The 22,351-nt window shown below is 58.7% G+C and overlaps 1 protein-coding gene across 8 annotated transcripts, besides 3 other annotated features; it reads left to right on the top strand.

Moving 5' to 3' along the window:
- On the top strand, positions 697 to 22,009 carry ACE (angiotensin I converting enzyme). 8 transcript variants are annotated; one of them, NM_000789.4, is made up of 25 exons: positions 697 to 979; positions 1,567 to 1,734; positions 2,643 to 2,736; positions 3,405 to 3,548; positions 3,973 to 4,164; positions 4,727 to 4,824; positions 5,202 to 5,374; positions 6,102 to 6,325; positions 6,665 to 6,809; positions 7,096 to 7,194; positions 7,485 to 7,607; positions 7,966 to 8,177; positions 8,872 to 9,008; positions 10,193 to 10,351; positions 10,622 to 10,709; positions 12,284 to 12,427; positions 12,577 to 12,768; positions 14,590 to 14,687; positions 14,845 to 15,017; positions 17,072 to 17,295; positions 17,558 to 17,702; positions 18,008 to 18,106; positions 20,030 to 20,152; positions 20,434 to 20,621; positions 20,773 to 22,009. In NM_000789.4, exons 1-25 carry the CDS (start codon positions 731 to 733, stop codon positions 21,000 to 21,002), a joined length of 3,921 nt encoding a protein of 1,306 aa, NP_000780.1. In that variant the 5' UTR covers positions 697 to 730; the 3' UTR covers positions 21,003 to 22,009. The 8 variants fall into 8 exon arrangements, 7 of the variants coding, with proteins under 7 accessions (NP_000780.1, NP_001369630.1, NP_001369629.1 ...); NM_001382701.1 differs by lacking the exons at positions 2,643 to 2,736; positions 3,405 to 3,548; NM_001382700.1 differs by lacking the exons at positions 2,643 to 2,736; positions 3,405 to 3,548; positions 5,202 to 5,374 and having other exon boundaries at positions 6,023 to 6,325.
- Positions 957 to 1,046: a silencer, noted in NCBI's record as "silent region_8817". NCBI's record gives its function as "represses an Ori minimal core promoter by ATAC-STARR-seq in GM12878 lymphoblastoid cells {active_cell/tissue: GM12878}" and the evidence as "EXISTENCE:reporter gene assay evidence [ECO:0000049][PMID:35858748]".
- Positions 1,147 to 1,206: a silencer, noted in NCBI's record as "silent region_8818". NCBI's record gives its function as "represses an Ori minimal core promoter by ATAC-STARR-seq in GM12878 lymphoblastoid cells {active_cell/tissue: GM12878}" and the evidence as "EXISTENCE:reporter gene assay evidence [ECO:0000049][PMID:35858748]".
- Positions 10,129 to 10,629: an enhancer, noted in NCBI's record as "H3K4me1 hESC enhancer chr17:61563854-61564354 (GRCh37/hg19 assembly coordinates)". NCBI's record gives its function as "activates a minimal SCP1, AML or CMV promoter by ChIP-STARR-seq in naive H9 embryonic stem cells {active_cell/tissue: H9 hESC(naive)}" and the evidence as "EXISTENCE:reporter gene assay evidence [ECO:0000049][PMID:30033119]".

Consider the following 22,351-nt stretch of genomic DNA (forward strand, 5'->3'; position numbering starts at 1 on the left):
CTGCTGAGCGACTGGCAGCCTGTGTCCTCGGGGGGAAAGAGGGCAGGCGCTCCAAAGCTCCTGCGCTCTGTGGCTCCCCCTCCCTCGCAGCCCCAAGCCCCAGGTGTGCCGGCCGCCCTGAGCCCCTCCAGCACCTCCCGGAGGCGCCTGCAAGACACCTAAGGTCCCCGCCTCCCTCCTCTCCCCCCCGCCACACCCCTACCCCCGGCAGGCGACGTCCCCGCCCCTCGACCATGGCCTGGTGAAGAAGCCGGCCAGGCCCGATCAGCCCCATCCCCGCCGCACGAGCGGCGCCTGCGGACAGCTCCTGGGGCCCCGGCCTTGTCACTCCGGAGGCGGGAGGCTCCGGGGGGTCGGGCTGGGAAGATCGAGCCGGAGGCCGCTAGGCTCCCAGGCCCCGGCCGAGGCTGCGCGGCCGCACGGTGGGCAGGCTCGGGTGTTCCGGCAAACTGCCGGGTCCCCATCTTCTAAAGAGAGGAGGCCCTTTCTCCAGCTTCCTCTGCGGGAGCCCGACCCAGCCCCATCCCGCCACCCCCGGGCTGCACCTCGGCCCCTCCCCGGCCCGCGCCCCTGCCCGGGGCGGGCCAGGAACCTCGGCCCGCGCCGCTGGGGACTCTGGAGCGGAGGAGGAAGCGCGGCGGGGCGGGGGCGGGGGTGTGTCGGGTTTTATAACCCGCAGGGCGGCCGCGGCGCAGGAGAAGGGGCAGAGCCGAGCACCGCGCACCGCGTCATGGGGGCCGCCTCGGGCCGCCGGGGGCCGGGGCTGCTGCTGCCGCTGCCGCTGCTGTTGCTGCTGCCGCCGCAGCCCGCCCTGGCGTTGGACCCCGGGCTGCAGCCCGGCAACTTTTCTGCTGACGAGGCCGGGGCGCAGCTCTTCGCGCAGAGCTACAACTCCAGCGCCGAACAGGTGCTGTTCCAGAGCGTGGCCGCCAGCTGGGCGCACGACACCAACATCACCGCGGAGAATGCAAGGCGCCAGGTGGGCGCCCGGGCCCGGGCGGGGGCGGGGCGGGGCCGCGGCGGCCAATCACAGCACGCGGCCGGCTTGTGGGGCGGGCAGGCTGGCGCCCCCGACCCGAACCCCACCCCGACCCCGGACCCTCGCCCCGACAGTCAGCCGCGGGGCCCGAGCGCCGGGCTGCGCGCACGGCCTGCGCTCCCAGCATGCACGAGTTGGATGGATGAGGGTGGCTGCTCCCAGGCCGCGCCCGCCTTCGCCGAAGGTGCTGGGCTTGGCTCTGGGGCCCCCGCGCTCTCGGGCAGCTGCCTTCTCACCTCCGGACGCTGTCGCTGTCACCGTCACCGCACTGCACTGTCCATCCACCCTCCACTCGCCCGGCCTCTTTTCTGGTCCCAATTTCTGCTCCACCATTCCCATGAGGCAGATTCCCTCCAGAAGGAGGAAGCGCGGCTTCCGCAAACTAAGGTCTCCCGCAGGGATCTCCCCAGGGCCCGGGCTCTGGAAGCCCTTGGCCTTCCTCCCCTCCCCCAGCACCGTGGCTTCTCCTTTATGGCCTGCATCTAAGCAGGGTCCTACACCCTCCCTGCCCTCCTGGTGCCCAATAGGAGGAAGCAGCCCTGCTCAGCCAGGAGTTTGCGGAGGCCTGGGGCCAGAAGGCCAAGGAGCTGTATGAACCGATCTGGCAGAACTTCACGGACCCGCAGCTGCGCAGGATCATCGGAGCTGTGCGCACCCTGGGCTCTGCCAACCTGCCCCTGGCTAAGCGGCAGCAGGTGGGCTGAGGGCTGAGGCAGAGCTCGGGGGCGGCCTCCTAGTGCCCCATCGTGGGGGTCGGGGGAGAGCAGCCCATCAGGGAGGGAGGAACCCTGGGATCCACATGGGCCCTGACAGAAGGGAAAGCCCAGGTAAGCACAGAATGGCTTTCTGAGCATTGATTTTTCTTGGAGATGGGGTGGGGAGTTACTTTCTGTTAAAGGAAGCATTCTGGAGTAGGAAGCCAAATTCAAATACACTTCTCCCTAGGCTGGTTTATGAGCTTCTTTGGAAGAGTTGAGAAGGGCTGGGCGTGGTGGCTCAAGCCTGTAATCCCAGCACTTTGGGAGGCTGAGGTGGGCGCATCGCTTGAGCCCAGGAGTTCAAGACCAGCCTGGCCAACATGGCAAAACCTCGTCTCTACAAAAAAAAAATAGCTGGGCTTGGTGGTGCGTGCACCTACAGTCCCAGCTACTCTTGAAACTGAGGGGGAAGGATCACCTGAGCCCAGGAGGTCAAGGCTACAGTGAGCTGTGATTGCACTACTGCACCCCAGCCTGCGTGACAGAGTGAGACCTCCCCCCAAAAAAAAGAGAGAGAGAAAAGGTTGAGAAAGACTGGGAAGTCACCAAAGCCAGAGAATGGGAGGGATCTGCCCTCACTGCAGGGTGGTGCCAAGCTGGGACTTGACCCTGACCCTGACTTTCAGGACTCCTGTCCCCCACTCCACAGGCTGCCTCCACTGGCAGGGGACTCAGAAGTGATCCGGTCACACTAAGTGACACTTAGTGATCAGAAGTGCCCCGGTGCCACTGAGTGGCCTTGTCCAAGCTACATCCACTCTGTGGGCTCCTCCTTCTAGCAGCGAGGGGAGGGCAGATGTCCCAGGGGCTGGTCACTGGAGCATTCCTCCCCTCTGACTCCCCAGTACAACGCCCTGCTAAGCAACATGAGCAGGATCTACTCCACCGCCAAGGTCTGCCTCCCCAACAAGACTGCCACCTGCTGGTCCCTGGACCCAGGTACGGCCCTTGCAGCTCCCCTCTCGGCGGTGCCCTAGTGTTCCCACATTGCCCTGCTGCACTCCAGACCATGCAGTTGTGTAGGGTCTGTGGAGACAGCAGGTAAACCCAAAGGTGTTGCCCTCCAACTGGGGCTGGACGGTGCAGATACCCCCACGCCCTGCTTCTCTTGGCAAGTGGACTTCCGGAATCTCCAGCTGCAGCCCCCACTTCTGTGTGTACCTCGGCCTCTCCCATCACCCCTAGGCCTTCCTCCTGGCTGCCTGGTTTCCCCTTTCGTGGGTCCTCTCATGTTCCCCAAGAGCCCTCAGGCCAGGGACCCCTCGTGGCTTCCCCTTAAACCCCGCTCCAGCCCCCTTTATGAGCAGCTTCGAGGAAGGCACTCCATCCAATAGGCCGCTAAGTGTCTGTCTGGGTTTTGGCCTTTGGGTGTCCCCTTGGTGTCAGCCACCTTAGGTGGTCATGTCTCTGGGGCAGGGGCCCTGCCTGGGTGTTTCTGTAGCTCCCAGCCCCCTCCCACCAGGCCTGTAGGTGGCCCCTGTCTCTGGGGGCACCGTGATGTTCAGGAAGCTGGTGGGAGCAGTAAGGACTGGTGCAGGCTCTGGTGAAGGCCGTTGAAGACTTCAACGTGGAGGCCTCCTCACCGACCCTGCCTGCCTGTGTCTCAGATCTCACCAACATCCTGGCTTCCTCGCGAAGCTACGCCATGCTCCTGTTTGCCTGGGAGGGCTGGCACAACGCTGCGGGCATCCCGCTGAAACCGCTGTACGAGGATTTCACTGCCCTCAGCAATGAAGCCTACAAGCAGGACGGTGAGCAGGCCTCTCCCTGTCCAGGAACCACGCCAGGTGTCCTCTCTCAGCTGTCTCCCCAGAGTCCCAGCCCAGAGTCAGGCAGAGCAGCTGGTATGACAATTCCAGCAGGCCCTGAGTTTCCCAGAAAGTGGAGGTGGGACCGGCCTGCACCCAGTGTGCCTGGACTTTGCTGCTGGCCTGCCCCACGTGGCCATCCTGCTGTCACTCCTGGCCCTGATGCTCCTCTTTGCCTCTGGGAACCTCCAGGATCTGTTTAGCTGGCTGTAGCTAATTAGAAATTGTAGAGTGGCAACCCCCAAGCCAATTTTCCAGCTAGCTGCAGATCCACGGGCCTCGAGCCAGTGGAAGAGCCGACTTACAGCTGAGAGGCTGAGGTCCGAGCCTTTGGCCTGAGCTACATACCTCACCCCCACGCCCCCAGGCTTCACAGACACGGGGGCCTACTGGCGCTCCTGGTACAACTCCCCCACCTTCGAGGACGATCTGGAACACCTCTACCAACAGCTAGAGCCCCTCTACCTGAACCTCCATGCCTTCGTCCGCCGCGCACTGCATCGCCGATACGGAGACAGATACATCAACCTCAGGGGACCCATCCCTGCTCATCTGCTGGGTAAGGACCTGGCCTCGCCTCCACATGAGTCCCACGGAAGTGTGGGTCCCGAGGTAGGGGTGGGGGATGTCCAGGGTAAGGGAAGGTGGGTTGTGACCCTCACATCTCACATGTGTGGGGCATCATACTGTTTGCTTCACATGCAGGAGACCATTCGTGTTCCCACTTTACAGGTGGGGACCCTGAGGCTTAGGGTCGTGAGGGACTTAGTGGTCAGAGAGCTAGGGGCCAAACCAAAGGCTCTGGCCCTGGGTCCAGTGGGGGAGCCATCAGCCTAGCTCATGCCCAAGGAAACAAGCACTGTGGCCCTGCCTCAGGATTGAGTGGCTGGGGCCTGGCACAGCCAGAAATGACAGTGGCAGCATCTTGCAGCCCCAGGACATGTGGCCCTCGGAGGAGTGTGGGTGGGACTGATGTGTGAGATTTCTGGCCCTAAGCCAGGCCTGCAGCCCTTGAGGGCCCCAGGGTACAGGTGCCGGCCCCAGGGTGCCACTCAGCGATGCATGAAGAAGCAGGCACAGCCAGGCAGGGAGCCAAGCTGTCCCCTTCCTTCCTTATCTAGGAGACATGTGGGCCCAGAGCTGGGAAAACATCTACGACATGGTGGTGCCTTTCCCAGACAAGCCCAACCTCGATGTCACCAGTACTATGCTGCAGCAGGTAAGCTCTGGGCTCAAGCCTGGGGTGGTGGGGGTCGGGGGTGGGGCGCAAAAAAAGGGAGTCACAGATGGGCACAGGGGCGGGAAGGTTTCGGGTACTGAGCAGCAGCCTGGTGTGTCTGTAGGAGCAGTGAGCTGGGGTCGGCCCCCTCAGTGAGGTGCCAGCTCCTCCCTCCAGGCTCCACAGTGGCAGGATGAGAGCAACAACGCACTTTCACTCATCTGCTGTGGGAGTGAGGGCCCTGCCTCTGGGAATGGTGGCCACAGAGCAGAGAAGCTTTCATGCACAGGGAGTTGACCCGAGATGGGGACCCCAGCCCTGTCCCCAGGCCAGCCAGAGTGGGCTCCCCCTGACCTGGCTCCACACCCCTCCTCCAGGGCTGGAACGCCACGCACATGTTCCGGGTGGCAGAGGAGTTCTTCACCTCCCTGGAGCTCTCCCCCATGCCTCCCGAGTTCTGGGAAGGGTCGATGCTGGAGAAGCCGGCCGACGGGCGGGAAGTGGTGTGCCACGCCTCGGCTTGGGACTTCTACAACAGGAAAGACTTCAGGTTCAGACATGGGAAGAGCACGTTCTGGGGTTCCCCGGTTCTGGGGCCCGGGGAAAGGCAGGCAGCCCAGGCGCAGGGAAGCTGGTTCCCAGGCCTGCCTCTACCCTACCCCAGCACTGGTTGGAGGCTGGGTCTGTTCCAGGGCTAGGGGGTATAGGAGGCCTATTAGTCCACCTTCTCTGGCAGCTTTGACAAATAGTCACTTCTATACCTTGGAATGGAGGAAGAAGGCCCAAGTGGTGGTGAGCCAGGGCAGGGTAAAGAATTTGCTTGTTTCTGCCAGGCACGGTGGTCACACCTGTAATCCCAGCACTTTGGGAGGTCAAGGCGGGTGGATCACCTGAGGCCAGGAGTTCGAGACCAGCCTGGCCAACATGGCGAAACCCCGTCTCTACTAAAAATACAAAAATAAATTAGCCAGGGGTGATGGCGGGCGCCTGTAATCCCAGCTACTCAGGAGGCTGAGGCAGGAGAATCTCTTGAACCCGGGAGGCGGAGGTTGCAGTGAGCTGAGATTGTGCCACTACAGGCCAGCCTGTGCAAAAGAGTGAGACGCTGTCTCAAAAAAAAAAAAGAAAAAAAGAAGTTACTTGTTTCTACTGCGGCTTCATGCCCCAGGGCAGCTCCCTCCTCATTCCTGTCTTTCAGGTGCCAATCTGCCCTGTGCCCTGGCCCTGCCCTGTTCTGTCCATCCGTCACTCTCACCCTCGCCCTCTCTACGCCCCAGGATCAAGCAGTGCACACGGGTCACGATGGACCAGCTCTCCACAGTGCACCATGAGATGGGCCATATACAGTACTACCTGCAGTACAAGGATCTGCCCGTCTCCCTGCGTCGGGGGGCCAACCCCGGCTTCCATGAGGCCATTGGGGACGTGCTGGCGCTCTCGGTCTCCACTCCTGAACATCTGCACAAAATCGGCCTGCTGGACCGTGTCACCAATGACACGGGTATGGGAGGGCTGAGAGGCCCCCACCCAGCCTCACCTAAACCCCGCTCCACCCCACAGCAGGACCTCACTTGCCCCACTCAGCTCTGCCCTTCTTTCTGCCTCCCGGCCCCAGGTCAGGCAGGGTTCGGGATCCTCCTAGAGCCTCACGGTGCACACTGCGCCCAGCTCAGCACACCTGGGGGTCCTCTTCCAAGCAGGGCCCAGGGTCTCGAGGGCCAGCCATACCTTCTCTGCATCTCCCTGGCCTCACTTTCTGCTGCCCCGCCAGCCCACACTCTTAGGGGACCCTCTTCTCCCTCTGACCTCTTCCCTCTCCTTTCATCTCATCTCCCAACAGAAAGTGACATCAATTACTTGCTAAAAATGGCACTGGAAAAAATTGCCTTCCTGCCCTTTGGCTACTTGGTGGACCAGTGGCGCTGGGGGGTCTTTAGTGGGCGTACCCCCCCTTCCCGCTACAACTTCGACTGGTGGTATCTTCGGTGAGAGGAGGGATAGAAAAGCCTTCGCCCCAGCTAGCCCTCCCCAGCCTCCTGGACAGCCAGGCGCCTCCTGCCCCAGCCAGTTCTAGCCTCTCCTCTCTAATGATGTCCCCCGCTGTGACCCACCGCCTTCTCCTTTCCTGCCTGAAACTCCCTCTTCCAGGAAGTCTTCCCCAGTTCCTCAGGATGGGGAAGGGTTGCCGGGTGGAAATGCCTTTTCTACAAAAGTTAAATCCATCTGTTTGCAACCTCTAGGCCCTAAGACAATTTAACCATCCTTTTCCAGAACCAAGTATCAGGGGATCTGTCCTCCTGTTACCCGAAACGAAACCCACTTTGATGCTGGAGCTAAGTTTCATGTTCCAAATGTGACACCATACATCAGGTATTAGCGCCCCCACCCCACCCACCCCCAGTACTGTCACACCCTCAATCCACTTCTCCTCCTGTGATCCTAGCTGCCTCATCCCCAGGGCTTGTCCCCATGCTCCTCCAGACCTCAAAGGCCTGGAGTTAGAGTGGCCCACTCTCCTGAGCCTGTCTTGGGTCTCCCTTCTCCCCCAAGATAGCTTCTGGTCCAGCCTCTGCCCTGCAGGAAGCTGGATGGTGCCTGGGTAAGGAACCCCTGTTCCTGGCCCCCCATGATCTTCCCTGACTCCCACCCTGTGCCTGCAGGTACTTTGTGAGTTTTGTCCTGCAGTTCCAGTTCCATGAAGCCCTGTGCAAGGAGGCAGGCTATGAGGGCCCACTGCACCAGTGTGACATCTACCGGTCCACCAAGGCAGGGGCCAAGCTCCGGTGTGTGGTGGGAAGCCGGGGGAAGTGGGAGGCAGAGAGGAGCGGCTGGCAAAGGGTGTGGCAGGAGGTGTCTGGCTGCTCTGATGGGGTGGGGGGCACCAACCACAGAGCTGGACTGATGTGGATGCCTGTCTCCTCGCTATGTCATCAAATATTTATTGAGTGGGCCTTCTGGCTGGCATGGGGCGACACAAATGCCCCCTGCCACCATCAGAGAGATCCCAGGCCCCAGGGTCTTATTGCCACAGTTTCTGCAGTCCATTGGGGGGCGGAAGTGGCCAGGGGCATGTGGGCCGGGGTCCAGGAGCAGACTCCAGCCTGAGTCCCCTGTGCCCATGGTACCCACTCTGCCCACCAGGAAGGTGCTGCAGGCTGGCTCCTCCAGGCCCTGGCAGGAGGTGCTGAAGGACATGGTCGGCTTAGATGCCCTGGATGCCCAGCCGCTGCTCAAGTACTTCCAGCCAGTCACCCAGTGGCTGCAGGAGCAGAACCAGCAGAACGGCGAGGTCCTGGGCTGGCCCGAGTACCAGTGGCACCCGCCGTTGCCTGACAACTACCCGGAGGGCATAGGTAAAGCCCTGAGTGAGGATGGTGTGGGGCTAAGGTGGGTCCTCAACTCTGGGCTTGGCCCAGGCCCCAGGTTCCTGGTCAGCTCCTACCAGCTGAGCCCTGGTACCCTGTCCTGGAGGGCCAGGCAGCCCCCCAAGCTCATCAGCAGGGCCTGCGAGTGGGGACAGGCATGTCTTTCCCCCAGCATCCTAGAGAGGGTGTGCTCAGACCTGAGGGCCCCTCCCCTTCCAGAGGAAGCCAGACACAAGGCTCTGTGAGGTCACACTGCGGGCTCCGCTCTTATTGGCCAGGGGACGGTAGCTGCAGGACTCTGCTCTCCTGCGGCCATGGGCCAGGGTTGGGCTACTGCAGGACTTCCCAGCCTCCTCTTCCTGCTGCTCTGCTACGGGCACCCTCTGCTGGTCCCCAGCCAGGAGGCATCCCAACAGGTGACAGTCACCCATGGGACAAGCAGCCAGGCAACAACCAGCAGCCAGACAACCACCCACCAGGCGACGGCCCACCAGACATCAGCCCAGAGCCCAAGTGGGACCATGCAGGGGAGGGGCAGGGTGCCAGGGGTGGGAGAGGCGGGGCCGGGTAGGGACAGGGCAGGGTACAAGGGAGTGCGAGAGGGATAATGGCTTCTGGTGAGACCACAAACCTGGAGAGGGGAGGCAGAGGTTTGTCTGTTTCCCTGCACTCTGTCCCACAGACCTGGTGACTGATGAGGCTGAGGCCAGCAAGTTTGTGGAGGAATATGACCGGACATCCCAGGTGGTGTGGAACGAGTATGCCGAGGCCAACTGGAACTACAACACCAACATCACCACAGAGACCAGCAAGATTCTGGTGGGAGCCACCTCCCCACCCCCAAACCTGAGCATGTGCATACACACAGAGATGCTGTCCCGCTCACCACACAGTGGGGCTGCCACCACATTTTAAATTGAATATTTAAAACAATACTCAATTTCGGGCCGGGCGCGGTGGCTCACGCCTGTAATCCCAGCACTTTGGGAGGGGGAGGCGGGCGGATCACGAGGTCAGATCAAGACCATCCTGGCTAACACGGTGAAACCCCATCTCTAGTAAAAATACAAAAATTAGCCGGGTGTGGTGGCGAGCACCTGTAGTCCCAGTACTCAGGAGGCTGAGGCAGGAGAATGGCATGAACCCGGGAGGCAGAGCTTGCAGTGAGCCGAGATGGCACCACTGCACTCCAGCCTGGGCGACAGAGCGAGACTCCATCAAAAAAAAAAAAAAAAAAAACTCAATTTCAGATTTTGATGAACATTTACTCAATGCCTGAGCAATTCTTCTTTCCTTAAAAATCAGTCTCTGGGAGGCCTAGGTGGGAGGATCACTTGAAGCCAGGAGTTGGAGACTAGCCTGGGCAACATAGCAAGATCCCATCTCTATTCAAACAAACAAATAAACAAAAATCAATCTCTAGTAACAGAATAATTTGTACATAAATAAGTGGTGCTCAAGTCGTTTTTTAAAAGATTGAAAGCCTCTGTTTGTCTCCTCTACAAAAGGGGCTACACTTCCTCTTTACCCTCATTCCCTGCCTATTTGGCTGAGCACAAATTATGCCACTGAGCCACACACTGTTACTGTTCCTTGGCACTTTGATCTGTTGCCTCATCTTTTTCTCAACAGCCTTGCAAAATTGGTGAGCTTATTCCCATTTTACAGATGGGATTTGATATTAACTCTGAGGTTCAGAAAGGCCACAGAGCTAATACCAAGCTGGCTCCTTCCTAAGGGCCTTTACGACACTTGGGGGTCTTCTCTTCTCTGCCCCTGCCTGGATATGTGTTGCTTGACCGCAGGCATCCAGGGAGGGTGAGTACTGCATCCAGGACGTTATCAGCGTCCAGCTTGCAGAGAGTCTTATAGGCAAAGGTTGCAACTTAATTCCACTGCCCCCTCACCACCACCTCCAGCCCTCAGCTCCCACTTGGGGCCTCCCGCTCAGAGGCTGCTCTGGAGCTCCTGGGCCCTGTGACACCATCCCCCTGTGCCCTCAGCTGCAGAAGAACATGCAAATAGCCAACCACACCCTGAAGTACGGCACCCAGGCCAGGAAGTTTGATGTGAACCAGTTGCAGAACACCACTATCAAGCGGATCATAAAGAAGGTTCAGGACCTAGAACGGGCAGCACTGCCTGCCCAGGAGCTGGAGGAGGTGTGTGGCTCGCAAGGTACAGGGAGAGGGGAATCCTGGGGCAGTGAGCCCAACACAGGGTCTGGCCTGGCCTTCACGCTGCTTCCTCTTCCTCGTTGTATCAAGTCATGGCATCTGCCATGCGATGTGCACCTCAGAACTGCTGAGAGGGCAGCGCTCCCCAGCTCCCTGGCTCCCCACCTGCCAGCCCATGGGGCCTGGGGGTAGTGCAGGCCCCAGAGAGACCAAGTGCAAAGGAGTACAGCTCATTGCCTCTCCTTCCTCCTGCAGTACAACAAGATCCTGTTGGATATGGAAACCACCTACAGCGTGGCCACTGTGTGCCACCCGAATGGCAGCTGCCTGCAGCTCGAGCCAGGTGAGAGCTCATGTGCAGGCTGAGTGAGAGGCGAGGGCTGGGACTGGCATGGGGCCCGGGGGTGCTGGGTGAGAGCACAGAGTTGGGTTCCCCTCGCTCTTGGGGTCAGCGTGCCCAGGAAATGCCCTTTCTTGTTTTCCACGAGGGGGGCTTCTCTGCCCCACTGAGAGCCGGCACCTACTTCATACCATGCCCCGATCAGCTGCCCCTCCCTCAGAACCGCCCTCTGCTTAAGGGTGTCCACTCTCTCCTGTCCTCTCTGCATGCCGCCCCTCAGAGCAGCGGGATCTCAAAGTTATATTTCATGGGCTTGGACTCCAAATGGGGGGAACTCGGGGACACTAGCTCCCCCCGGCCTCCTTTCGTGACCCTGCCCTTGACTTCCTCACCTTCTCTGTCTTTCCTGAGCCCCTCTCCCAGCATGTGACTGATAAGGAAATTGAGTCACACAGCCCCTGAAAGCGCCAGACTAGAACCTGAGCCTCTGATTCCTCTCACTTCCCTCACCTACCCTGCCACTTCCTACTGGATAGAAGTAGACAGCTCTTGACTGTCCTCTTTTCTCCCCACTGGCTGGTCCTTCTTACCCCGGCCCGTTTGAAAGAGCTCACCCCCGACACAAGGACCCGCACACAGATACCTCCCAGCTCCCTCTCAACCCACCCTTTCCAGGGTTGGAGAACTTGAGGCATAAACTTGCTTCCATGAGGAATCTCCACCCAGAAATGGGTCTTTCTGGCCCCCAGCCCAGCTCCCACATTAGAACAATGACAAATAGAAGGGGAAATGGAAAATAAACAGGAGAAACGGTTTTCCCAGGACAGGGTTTGGCCTACAAGTTGTGGATGTGGGTACCCATGCCAAGTGTGAGGGGAGGCTGGCCGGGTGTGGTGGCTCATGCCTCTAATCCCAGCACTTTGGGAGGCCAAGGTGAGTAGATCACTTGAGGCCGGGAGTTTGAGACCAGCCTGGCCAACATGGTGAAACCCCATCTGTACTAAAAATACAAAAGTTAGCTGGGCGTGGTGGTAGATGCCTGTAGTCCCAGCTACTTGGGAGGCTGAGGCATGAGAATCGCTTGAGCCCAGCCTGGGCAATACAGCAAGACCCCGTCTCTACAAATAAAATACAAAAAATTAGTTGGATGTGGTGGTGCATGCCTGTAGTCCTAGCTGCTAGGGAGGCTGAGATGGAAGGATTGCTTGAGCCTGGGAGGTCAAGGCTGCAGTGAGCCGAGATGGCGCCACTGCACTCCAGCCTGGGCAACAGAGTGAGACCCTGTCTCAGAAAAAAAAAAAAAAAAAAAAAGGAGAGGAGAGAGACTCAAGCACGCCCCTCACAGGACTGCTGAGGCCCTGCAGGTGTCTGCAGCATGTGGCCCCAGGCCGGGGACTCTGTAAGCCACTGCTGGAGAGCCACTCCCATCCTTTCTCCCATTTCTCTAGACCTGCTGCCTATACAGTCACTTTTATGTGGTTTCGCCAATTTTATTCCAGCTCTGAAATTCTCTGAGCTCCCCTTACAAGCAGAGGTGAGCTAAGGGCTGGAGCTCAAGGCATTCAAACCCCTACCAGATCTGACGAATGTGATGGCCACGTCCCGGAAATATGAAGACCTGTTATGGGCATGGGAGGGCTGGCGAGACAAGGCGGGGAGAGCCATCCTCCAGTTTTACCCGAAATACGTGGAACTCATCAACCAGGCTGCCCGGCTCAATGGTGAGTCCCTGCTGCCAACATCACTGGCACTTGGGTCCCTTCATTTTCCTCAAAGAGGTGCTGTGAAACCCCAAGCCTAGGAAAAGGTAGATCCCTGGAGGAGGCAGGTAATGTGGTGTTGGGAGAGCCTGGCTGTGTCCCCTCTGTAGGCTATGTAGATGCAGGGGACTCGTGGAGGTCTATGTACGAGACACCATCCCTGGAGCAAGACCTGGAGCGGCTCTTCCAGGAGCTGCAGCCACTCTACCTCAACCTGCATGCCTACGTGCGCCGGGCCCTGCACCGTCACTACGGGGCCCAGCACATCAACCTGGAGGGGCCCATTCCTGCTCACCTGCTGGGTAAGGGCACATGTCGGGCCTTGAGGAGGGTAAAGACGGACCACAGTGTGAGTGAGGGTTGGGACAGGGCTGACTAGAGGGTAGGGAGCAGGCTGGGGACTGAGAGACTCCAGCCCTGTGGGGGATGGTTGCCCAGGCTGGAGGGGGGTGGGCGCTGGGAGTGGGGAGCCCCCCACTTGCATCTGGTGCCACATTCACTGCAGATCTATGTCGGGCAAGTCACCATGGATGGGGGAAGAAGTTAATAATCTTGTCCAGGAGACCACGGCACCCATCACAACATTGTGTGATCTTAGAGGGCGAGGAAGAGGCTGTGAGTGGGAGCTGGGGAGGCTTTGCCAAGAGGTGGCCTGTGAGCAGGGCCTCGGAAGATGACAGGGTTTGACAGATGGGAAGTGGGGGATGAGAGGACAGACGCAGTGTTCAGGCCAAGGGAACTGGAACAAAGAAGAACCTGAGAATGTAAATCTACTTCAACCCTGGACCCTCCTTTGCCAAGGGCTGCAATCTCAGATGCCCTGAATGTGTGAAGTAGGCGGTGAGGACAGTAAGGGATGGTAGGGAGTAAGGCAAAGCAGAGGCTACTGGTTCTCTGTCCCTGATGGGCTGTTAGGAACACTTTCCTGGAGCAGAGAGACCAGACAGGCCCTCAGACCATTTAGAAACTATAAGGGAGGCCCCAGAGGACGGCCTGGCTGTGGGTCTAGCTCCCACACAGGCTGGGAGTCCAGCCCTCTTCAGCCCCTCTCTGGTGAGACCAAAGAACATCTGGTGATGTCACAGTGGACGTCAGTTCACCAACTGGGAGACACAGGCCCCGGGAAGAAAAGCAACATGCCCAGCGTGGCCTGGGAGCTGGGGCAGAGCTGGCCTTAGAACTCAGCCCCTGACAATTGGTAAAAGGGGAAAGGGGAGCAACCTAACACTGATGCGCTCTCTGTCTCTCTCTCTGGCTCTCTCCCTGGCTCTCTCCCTCTTCTCTCTCATGTTCTCTCCATCACTCATCGCTCTAACCCTCTCTCACTGGTTTGCACTTTAGACTTCATCTGATGTCAGCCGAAGCTTCACCTCACTTGGCTAGGAAAGAGCCTTGAGTCCAAATCTGTTTCTGAGCCTTCCATTCATCCTGAGTTTCTTCCTTTTCCTCTGTCGTGGAGAACTAGGCTCTTTTCTTACACTAAACTCAGAGGCATCAGCCTCTCCTGAAGGAGACGGCTGGTTCCTGTCAGAGTTGCTGAGCTGCAGACACCGACCTCAGGTGGTGCGGAGGGGACATGGCAGAGTGGCTGGTGAAGAGAGCAGCCTGCCAGCCTTTCAATCCCAGCCCTGCCACTTAGGAGCCGTGGGCCCCCGGCGAGGGGGGCGGTCACTTAACTCTCCAGCCTGTTTCCTTTACTAGCCAATGGGAATCGTGACAGTACCTGGGTGCAGACAGGATTGAAAGTGAATTCACACAATGTTCTTGGTGCAGAGCCAATAAGAGGTGGCCACCGGGGTGTAGGTGTTCTGGGGACCTGTAATGTCCTCACATGTCAGCAGTTGCTAGTCACATTGGTCTCCACTGCTCACGGACAGTGAAGACCACCTGGATTCCCTGATAACCAGCAAGGCCCCCACCTAGAGCCAGGCAGTAATGACCTACTGGGCTGGATATGCACACCAAAGATGATGTGTGCCTCAAAGCTTGCAAACAGTAGGTGCTCAAGAAATGCCACTATGATTAGCAGGACTGGGATCTGGAGCGCTCTTCCTGCAGGAGGGCATTGAGCCTAAGTAACATTTGTCTTTCCTCTCTCTGCCGTCCCCCACACTCGCCTCCAGGGAACATGTGGGCGCAGACCTGGTCCAACATCTATGACTTGGTGGTGCCCTTCCCTTCAGCCCCCTCGATGGACACCACAGAGGCTATGCTAAAGCAGGTCCGCACCAGCCCAGGGGCAGGGAGGCCCCGCCGGGATGGGAGGGACCCTCTGATTCAGGAGTTCCCTCCAGTTTAGCCCTCCCCCGGGATCCCCACGGCAGCACGCAGTCTGTCCCCGGAACCCCCAGTTTGGGCAGAACTCCCTCTGCTTGCAGGGCTGGACGCCCAGGAGGATGTTTAAGGAGGCTGATGATTTCTTCACCTCCCTGGGGCTGCTGCCCGTGCCTCCTGAGTTCTGGAACAAGTCGATGCTGGAGAAGCCAACCGACGGGCGGGAGGTGGTCTGCCACGCCTCGGCCTGGGACTTCTACAACGGCAAGGACTTCCGGTACATCCAGCTAGGGCTCAGGTCTCGTTCCTGAGCCCCACGGGCAAGGGAAATGAACCAAGCAAAGGGTCCACTACTGTCCCCCAGCTGGAGCCAGCAGGGCAGGATGGGGACAGGGCCAGAGTTTGGGACTGAGTGTCTAGAGAGGTGTTGGCTTCTGGCAGGAAAACCCCATCCGCCTGATGGGGACTTCTGAAGCACGCAACAGCTCTGTCAGCCTGGCCGCTGGGAAGTGCTCAAGGTCCCAGTCCTGGGTTTGAGCATGGTAGGCTGCCCCGCGTCCCTCCTTGGGAGCAGCCCCTGCATGGAGCTGGCCTCTCCCTGGGGGCACATGCTGTGACACAGGGAGGCACACGAGGATGTTGGGTGCTCTGTACAGATCCACTCTCACCCCTGACAGGCTCAGAAGCTGCCTTCCTTGGAGGATGGCGTTTTAGTTACCTATTGCTGTGCAACCAAGCACCCCAGAGCTTAGCCTTACGAAACAACCAGTTGATTTTGCTTATGATTTTATGTGCCAGGAATTCAGGCAGTACACAGTGGAAATGGCCTTTCTCTACAGGGCCCCCTCTGTTGGGGGCAGCTCTCACAGCCGGGATGGCTCAATGGGGGCCATACGTCCAGAGCCCCAGTTCTGGCTGTCGGTTGAGGTCCTCGGTTTTTCCCATGTGGCAGATGCTGGGGCACATGTTCCCAGTGGCCTCTTGGCTCACATGTTGGGTGCTTGGGGTGAGATGGCTGGAACGGCTGGAGGTGGGTCAGGCATCTCTCCAGGCTAGCTCGGGCGCCCTCCCAGCGTGGAATCTGAGGTGGGCAGATTTACCTGGCAGCCAGCATCCCCCACAGCAACTACTGACGCAGCCAGTTCTCAAGGCTAGGTCCAAAACTGGCCCAGAGTCACTTCTGCCATGTTTTATTGGCTAGAACAAGTCACAAGTTCACCCAGATTCAAGAGAAGAGAAAAAAGTCCCTCCCACTTGGGAGAAGTGGCAAAGACCATCTGTCACAGCTGAAGAAGTGTCTCTTACAAGGAGAACAGACACGGGGAGCCTGAAACAAAACCCGATGGGATTCCCTGGGCTGTGCAGGCCCTTCCAGGCATGAGGACTCAGCCACAGGGCTGAGAGGAGACAGGATCTGGGGGATGAGAGCCCTTGTGGGGTCTTCCCTTTTATGGGGAGTCAGAGGAGAAGCTGGATAGATCCCCAGCCTTGTGGCCAGGATGCTGGGCAGCTCTTCCTTCCCCCTCCCCGATGAGAATGACAGAAAAACAGGATTCACCTGAGCCAAAAGGCTTCCAGTTAGATCCAAGAGAGAATTTCCCGCAGTTTGAATTGGTTTGCTAAACAACAAGGAAGGGCTGGGTGCGGTGGCTCACACCTGTAATCTCAGCACTTTGGGAAGCCGAGGCAGGAGGTCTGCTTGAGCTCAGGGGTTCGAGACCATCCTGGGCAACATAGCGAGACCCCATTTCATAAAAAATAAATAAGTAAATGAGAACAAGGAAGGACTGACGAGAGACGGTAGAACCTTCTGGTTTGGGCAGCTCTGCAGCTGCCATTCATCCTGGCCATAAGAATTCTTGGGGTGAATAAGTTTGTCGCTGTTGGGCCGCATGAGATGCAGAATCGCCCACTCTCACCCCTGACAGAAACAGTTGTTTCCTTCAGGGAGCCTCCATCTTGGGAGATAAAGCATGTGTACATGGGAACCCACTGGCCACACATTCTCTAGAAAGTACACAATGTCCCAGTGCCTCTAGAGCAAGCACTTTGTACAGTCAGAAAGCAACAGGTGGTGGGGGCTGGAGTCATTCAGGAAAATGGGAGGCAGAGGAATGGCCTGAACGGCCCGATGCTAGGGGCTTCTGCCCCCAGATTCCCTCTTACGCACACTCAGTGGTTGCCCTTCCCCTCCCTCCCCACAGTGCTGTGTCCCCTGCATGCTGCAGTGCTGGGGTCTGCCCTGGGTATAGCAAGGCCCACTGTTCCCTTATGCCCAGGGCTTCTCACTGTCCTCTCCCAACACCCTCTCCCCCACTCCACTATTCCTAGGATCAAGCAGTGCACCACCGTGAACTTGGAGGACCTGGTGGTGGCCCACCACGAAATGGGCCACATCCAGTATTTCATGCAGTACAAAGACTTACCTGTGGCCTTGAGGGAGGGTGCCAACCCCGGCTTCCATGAGGCCATTGGGGACGTGCTAGCCCTCTCAGTGTCTACGCCCAAGCACCTGCACAGTCTCAACCTGCTGAGCAGTGAGGGTGGCAGCGACGGTGAGAGAGAAGCGGGAGGCCCTGGTGGGCTGAGGACCAAGAAAGGGTGGTGAGCTTGGGAGGTGGGAAAGGGGCACTTAGTGGCCCATGGGCAGAGGTGTGGGGCAGAGCAATCGGAAGGAAGGGAGCCACCCAGACCATCCCAGGAGGCAGGTCACAGGGCCCAAAAGGTACAGCACCCCCACCCCTCCACCATCACAGGCACACCAGGGCCAAGCCGCTAGGACCCTGGGTCTGACAGCTGGGCTCCCTTCCCTTGCAGAGCATGACATCAACTTTCTGATGAAGATGGCCCTTGACAAGATCGCCTTTATCCCCTTCAGCTACCTCGTCGATCAGTGGCGCTGGAGGGTATTTGATGGAAGCATCACCAAGGAGAACTATAACCAGGAGTGGTGGAGCCTCAGGTTCTGGAACACTCCCACGGGATGCGGGCTGGGGGATCTCTGCGAGTGTCTGCATGTGCCTGGGTGTCTGGATGGGCCAGGGTAGGGGAGTGTGTGTGTGTGTGTACACTATTGTGTCTGTGCATATGATGTGTGTGGTGTAAGTGATGGGGAAAACGGGGTGATTGTGCACAGAGGCCCAGCACGCAGGAGAATGGGGTGCCCAGTATAGCCCCAAGTGCAGGGACCCTCCCTCAAGTCAAAAATGCCACCCCCAGCCTGGTTCTCCCCAAACTCATCTTCCAACATATATTCCCACTCGACAGGCTGAAGTACCAGGGCCTCTGCCCCCCAGTGCCCAGGACTCAAGGTGACTTTGACCCAGGGGCCAAGTTCCACATTCCTTCTAGCGTGCCTTACATCAGGTAACGGGAAAGGCAGGAGGGCACATTGTGAGGGGCAGTACCCACAGCTTTGTGTTTCAACTGCGGCCACTGCCCGGTCCACAAGCTCTGTCAGTCAGGGCAGACCCGGGGGAGCCGGCCGCACGGTGCAGGTGCCTGGGCCCACTCACACTGCCAAGGCTGATGGGTTTTTTCTTGAACATTCTTTTGATGAGAGTCTGTACCATCCAAACAGTTGAACACAGAAACTCAACCTAATAATTGGCTAATGGTTACCAGACCTTGGTTAAGTAGTTAACATTAACCACGACTCATGGCTGGATCATGAGCTCTGCACTGTTTTGTTTTGCTTTTAAAACAAGACTGTGATTCTTTTACTATTATTGAACATTGTCTGCGATACAATTTGAATTGTACCTGGAAGCCCTTCTAGACACTAAAATGTAGGATTGGAGATCGGTTAAGGTGGGAGGCAGGGTTGCTGGGGCAAGTTACAGTCACAGGCTGGGGTCAGACAGAACTGGGTTCAAACTCCGTCTCCATTACTTTGTTTCCTTGAGAAAATTCCTCAATTTCTGTGAGCTTCCATTTCCTGACCTGTGAACCCCATTTCACAGGATGCACGATGGCTAACTTCTTAGCATTCTGTCTCATACACAGCCTCCTCAGGGAGGGGTGGCCAGGACCCCACTATTCATCACTCTCTAGTGGAATGTAGCTGCACACTAGGTCTGCAGGTCACATGGCCACAGATGAGTGTGCCCAATGCAGCCCCTCTCCTTCTGTGTGCCCCGGGAGAGCACTTGCTGAGGGCTAGCAAGGCTGTTTGTGATCCGGGAGGCTCCCTGGGAGGCTGGGGGCTAGAGAGACCTCAGGCTGGAGTTCCAGGTGCCCCCGGGCTACAGGTAGCCCAGGCCACCCCCAGAGGGCTGTGGCTGCCTCTGGCCCTGGCCTCCCGTGGTTCCTGGAAGCCCAGCAAGGGCAGGGCCCATGCCCACCTTGCCTCCTGGCACCTGGGATGATGCCAGCACATCATCAAGTGCTAATAACTGATTGTGGGATGGATGAAGTCTGTCCCCAGAGTCCAGGAAGAGGGCATCCCTGGAGCACCTCAGATAGGCCTGACCTAGACGGTGCTCCAGAGATGACACTTAGGACAGGGCTCCCGCCTGCCTGCTGGAGTGGTCCCTGGGGTTCCCAGCCGGCGCTGGCTCTCACCCGGGAGCCAGCTGGTGTGATGGCTAGCTTCCCAGCTTAATGCAGACAATTCTCCAAACAGGGGTGGGCAAAGGAGACTTGGCTGCTCTAGAAAAACATTCCGGATTCTGGCCAGCAGCCTTCACAAAGCACTTTTAGGAAAGACCAGGGAACTAGGTGGTACATGCTTGCACCCAGCATTCAAAGTGAGAGGCCTGTGCCACTGGCTCAGGACATTTAAAACCTCTTCAGACTTTAAGCTGGGGAGAATCCTCCAGCCTTGACTGGCAGATTTCTACCAGGGAATTCGTGATGCTTTGGATAAGATCATGTAGGACTGGCTTCCCTGCCCAGACCACCCTAGTAGATCCACACGGCCCATTTGGCCACACCTTGCCTCTACTTGCATATACCCCAGGGATGGAGACCTCACTGCCTCCAAAGCCACCTGCCAGATCTCTGAAGGCTCTGCCCTGACCCCATGGAGCAGGCCCTCCTGAGTTGTGGAGGCAGCTCTGTGGGTGGGAGGCATCTACACAGGCACGGCTAGGAAGAGGCTCAGACAATGCTAAGAGCTGGGGTGGGGGAGCTCACCCTGATAGCTGTGGGCAGAGTTGGGGGGCCTTGGCTCTGCTGTGCGCATGTGACTTAGCACACATCACATGTGATGTGCAGAAGGGCCTGGGGCCCAGTGGCACAAGGCCCTCAACCAACTCCGCCCCGGGCCACGGCCTCGCTCTGCTCCAGGTACTTTGTCAGCTTCATCATCCAGTTCCAGTTCCACGAGGCACTGTGCCAGGCAGCTGGCCACACGGGCCCCCTGCACAAGTGTGACATCTACCAGTCCAAGGAGGCCGGGCAGCGCCTGGCGTGAGTGTCCTCCAGCCCTCCTTTGTTTCCATGCTCTGGCCTGCGCCCCTGGGCCTTGAGGGGTCTGTCCACTGGAGCTTTTGTGGGAACACTTGCCATTTTGAGCCGGGAACTCCCACCTGCAGCGTGGGCCAGGCCTGATTGCCATCTCCTTAGGCACCTGGAGCCCTGGGGCCCTGGGACAAGTTTCAGCTGGGAGTGGGTATGGAGAGTGGATGTCAGGTGGGGGCAAGAGGGGCCATGTCCTTCTGACTCTGCCTCCCTGTCTCATGCCTCCCCAGGACCGCCATGAAGCTGGGCTTCAGTAGGCCGTGGCCGGAAGCCATGCAGCTGATCACGGGCCAGCCCAACATGAGCGCCTCGGCCATGTTGAGCTACTTCAAGCCGCTGCTGGACTGGCTCCGCACGGAGAACGAGCTGCATGGGGAGAAGCTGGGCTGGCCGCAGTACAACTGGACGCCGAACTCCGGTACCGCCACCCACCCCACCTCCAGCCTTGGGTCTTAACCCCCTCCCCAGGCTGGGCAGCCATGCGGCTGACCTCGGAGCCTGGCCCTGCCCCGCACCCTTGCCCTGCCCTGCCCTGCCCTGCCCATGCTGTCTCCTTGCTTCCCGCTCAGCTCGCTCAGAAGGGCCCCTCCCAGACAGCGGCCGCGTCAGCTTCCTGGGCCTGGACCTGGATGCGCAGCAGGCCCGCGTGGGCCAGTGGCTGCTGCTCTTCCTGGGCATCGCCCTGCTGGTAGCCACCCTGGGCCTCAGCCAGCGGCTCTTCAGCATCCGCCACCGCAGCCTCCACCGGCACTCCCACGGGCCCCAGTTCGGCTCCGAGGTGGAGCTGAGACACTCCTGAGGTGACCCGGCTGGGTCGGCCCTGCCCAAGGGCCTCCCACCAGAGACTGGGATGGGAACACTGGTGGGCAGCTGAGGACACACCCCACACCCCAGCCCACCCTGCTCCTCCTGCCCTGTCCCTGTCCCCCTCCCCTCCCAGTCCTCCAGACCACCAGCCGCCCCAGCCCCTTCTCCCAGCACACGGCTGCCTGACACTGAGCCCCACCTCTCCAAGTCTCTCTGTGAATACAATTAAAGGTCCTGCCCTCCCCATCTGAGTCTGTGTCCCTCACAGGGAAGCCAGGGACAGGGACAGGCTGCTTTCCTGCCTCCTGGCAGTCAAGTGGGTCCCGTTACTAGGTTTGTTCCTCCATCCTCCTTCAGGAGCCGGGGAGGATCCCCAGAGCTCTGCCCCAGCACCTCCTGGCGCTGGCGCCTGTCTTCCCTCCAGCCCAGGCAGCCCGCCACTGTCCTGCCACCGCAGGCAGCCCCTGTCTGGCCCAAGCACTGACCCACGCGGACTCTGGGAAGCAGACATCCTGGGCTGCTGGCCTCACATTTCCACTGGCAGTGGAGCCTTTCCCTGCTCCACAAATGGCCAGGTCCCCCCAGGGGAAGGCTTCCGGCTGTTATCGGCTGCCTCAGGGGGCGAGTACCTTGGAGGGCCTGCTTCAAGGAGGGTGCCCCCTGGAGGGCACACACCAGCCTAGTGCTTACCTTGGCTCCTGCCTGTACCAGCTCCATGACTCTGCTCGGGTGAACAGCCTTGGCTCTCAGACAGCCATTCTAACACTGCCAGTGCAGAGGGGCCTCAGACGCTGGAGTGTAGCAGTGGCTGCACCTGCACAGGGATTAGCTGCCAGCAGCCACCCTGCTGGCGTCCCAGCACACACCTCCTCACTCCCTGCATTGGAGGGAGTGTCATTTTAAGGGACATTTTTATGACTTTTATGTGTATGTTTATGTAGAAATTTGGAAAATACAGAAAACTGTAAAGAAAATAAAAGCCCTTTATATCAACGTCAAGAGATAAGCCCTGTTGACGTTTTGGTGTACAACTTGCCGGACTTCTTCTCAGCACATGTGTATTTTAAATGGGATCACACCATATTTACAGTCATACATCCTTTTATCACTTCATACAACTAGATCTGTTTTTCTGATATTTAAATGCCAGACTTCGAACTTGGCCAATAGAAGTTGGTCCATTTGCTGGGGCCAGGGGCTCCCCAGCCACCCGGGCCCCTCTGTCAAACCCTCAGCCCTGAGTCTCTTCTGGGCTTTGCTGATGTCTTCACCCTAGCTAGGTCCATCTCCCAATATCTGTCCCCCTTAGTCCACAGCTTTTGCCCCCCAATCCAGGTGCCG

Source organism: Homo sapiens, chromosome 17 (genome assembly GCF_000001405.40).
Source record: "Homo sapiens chromosome 17, GRCh38.p14 Primary Assembly".
NCBI classification, from domain to species: Eukaryota; Metazoa; Chordata; class Mammalia; order Primates; family Hominidae; genus Homo; species Homo sapiens.

Excerpts from the sequence above, each read along its gene's own strand:
- ACE (NM_000789.4), top strand. The coding sequence starts at position 731 with ATGGGGGCCGCCTCGGGCCGCCGGGGGCCGGGGCTGCTGCTGCCGCTG. Across the intron at positions 5,375-6,101 it reads TACAACAGGAAAGACTTCAG|GATCAAGCAGTGCACACGGG; the intron begins GTTCAGACATGG and ends TCTACGCCCCAG. Across the intron at positions 15,018-17,071 it reads TACAACGGCAAGGACTTCCG|GATCAAGCAGTGCACCACCG; the intron begins GTACATCCAGCT and ends CACTATTCCTAG.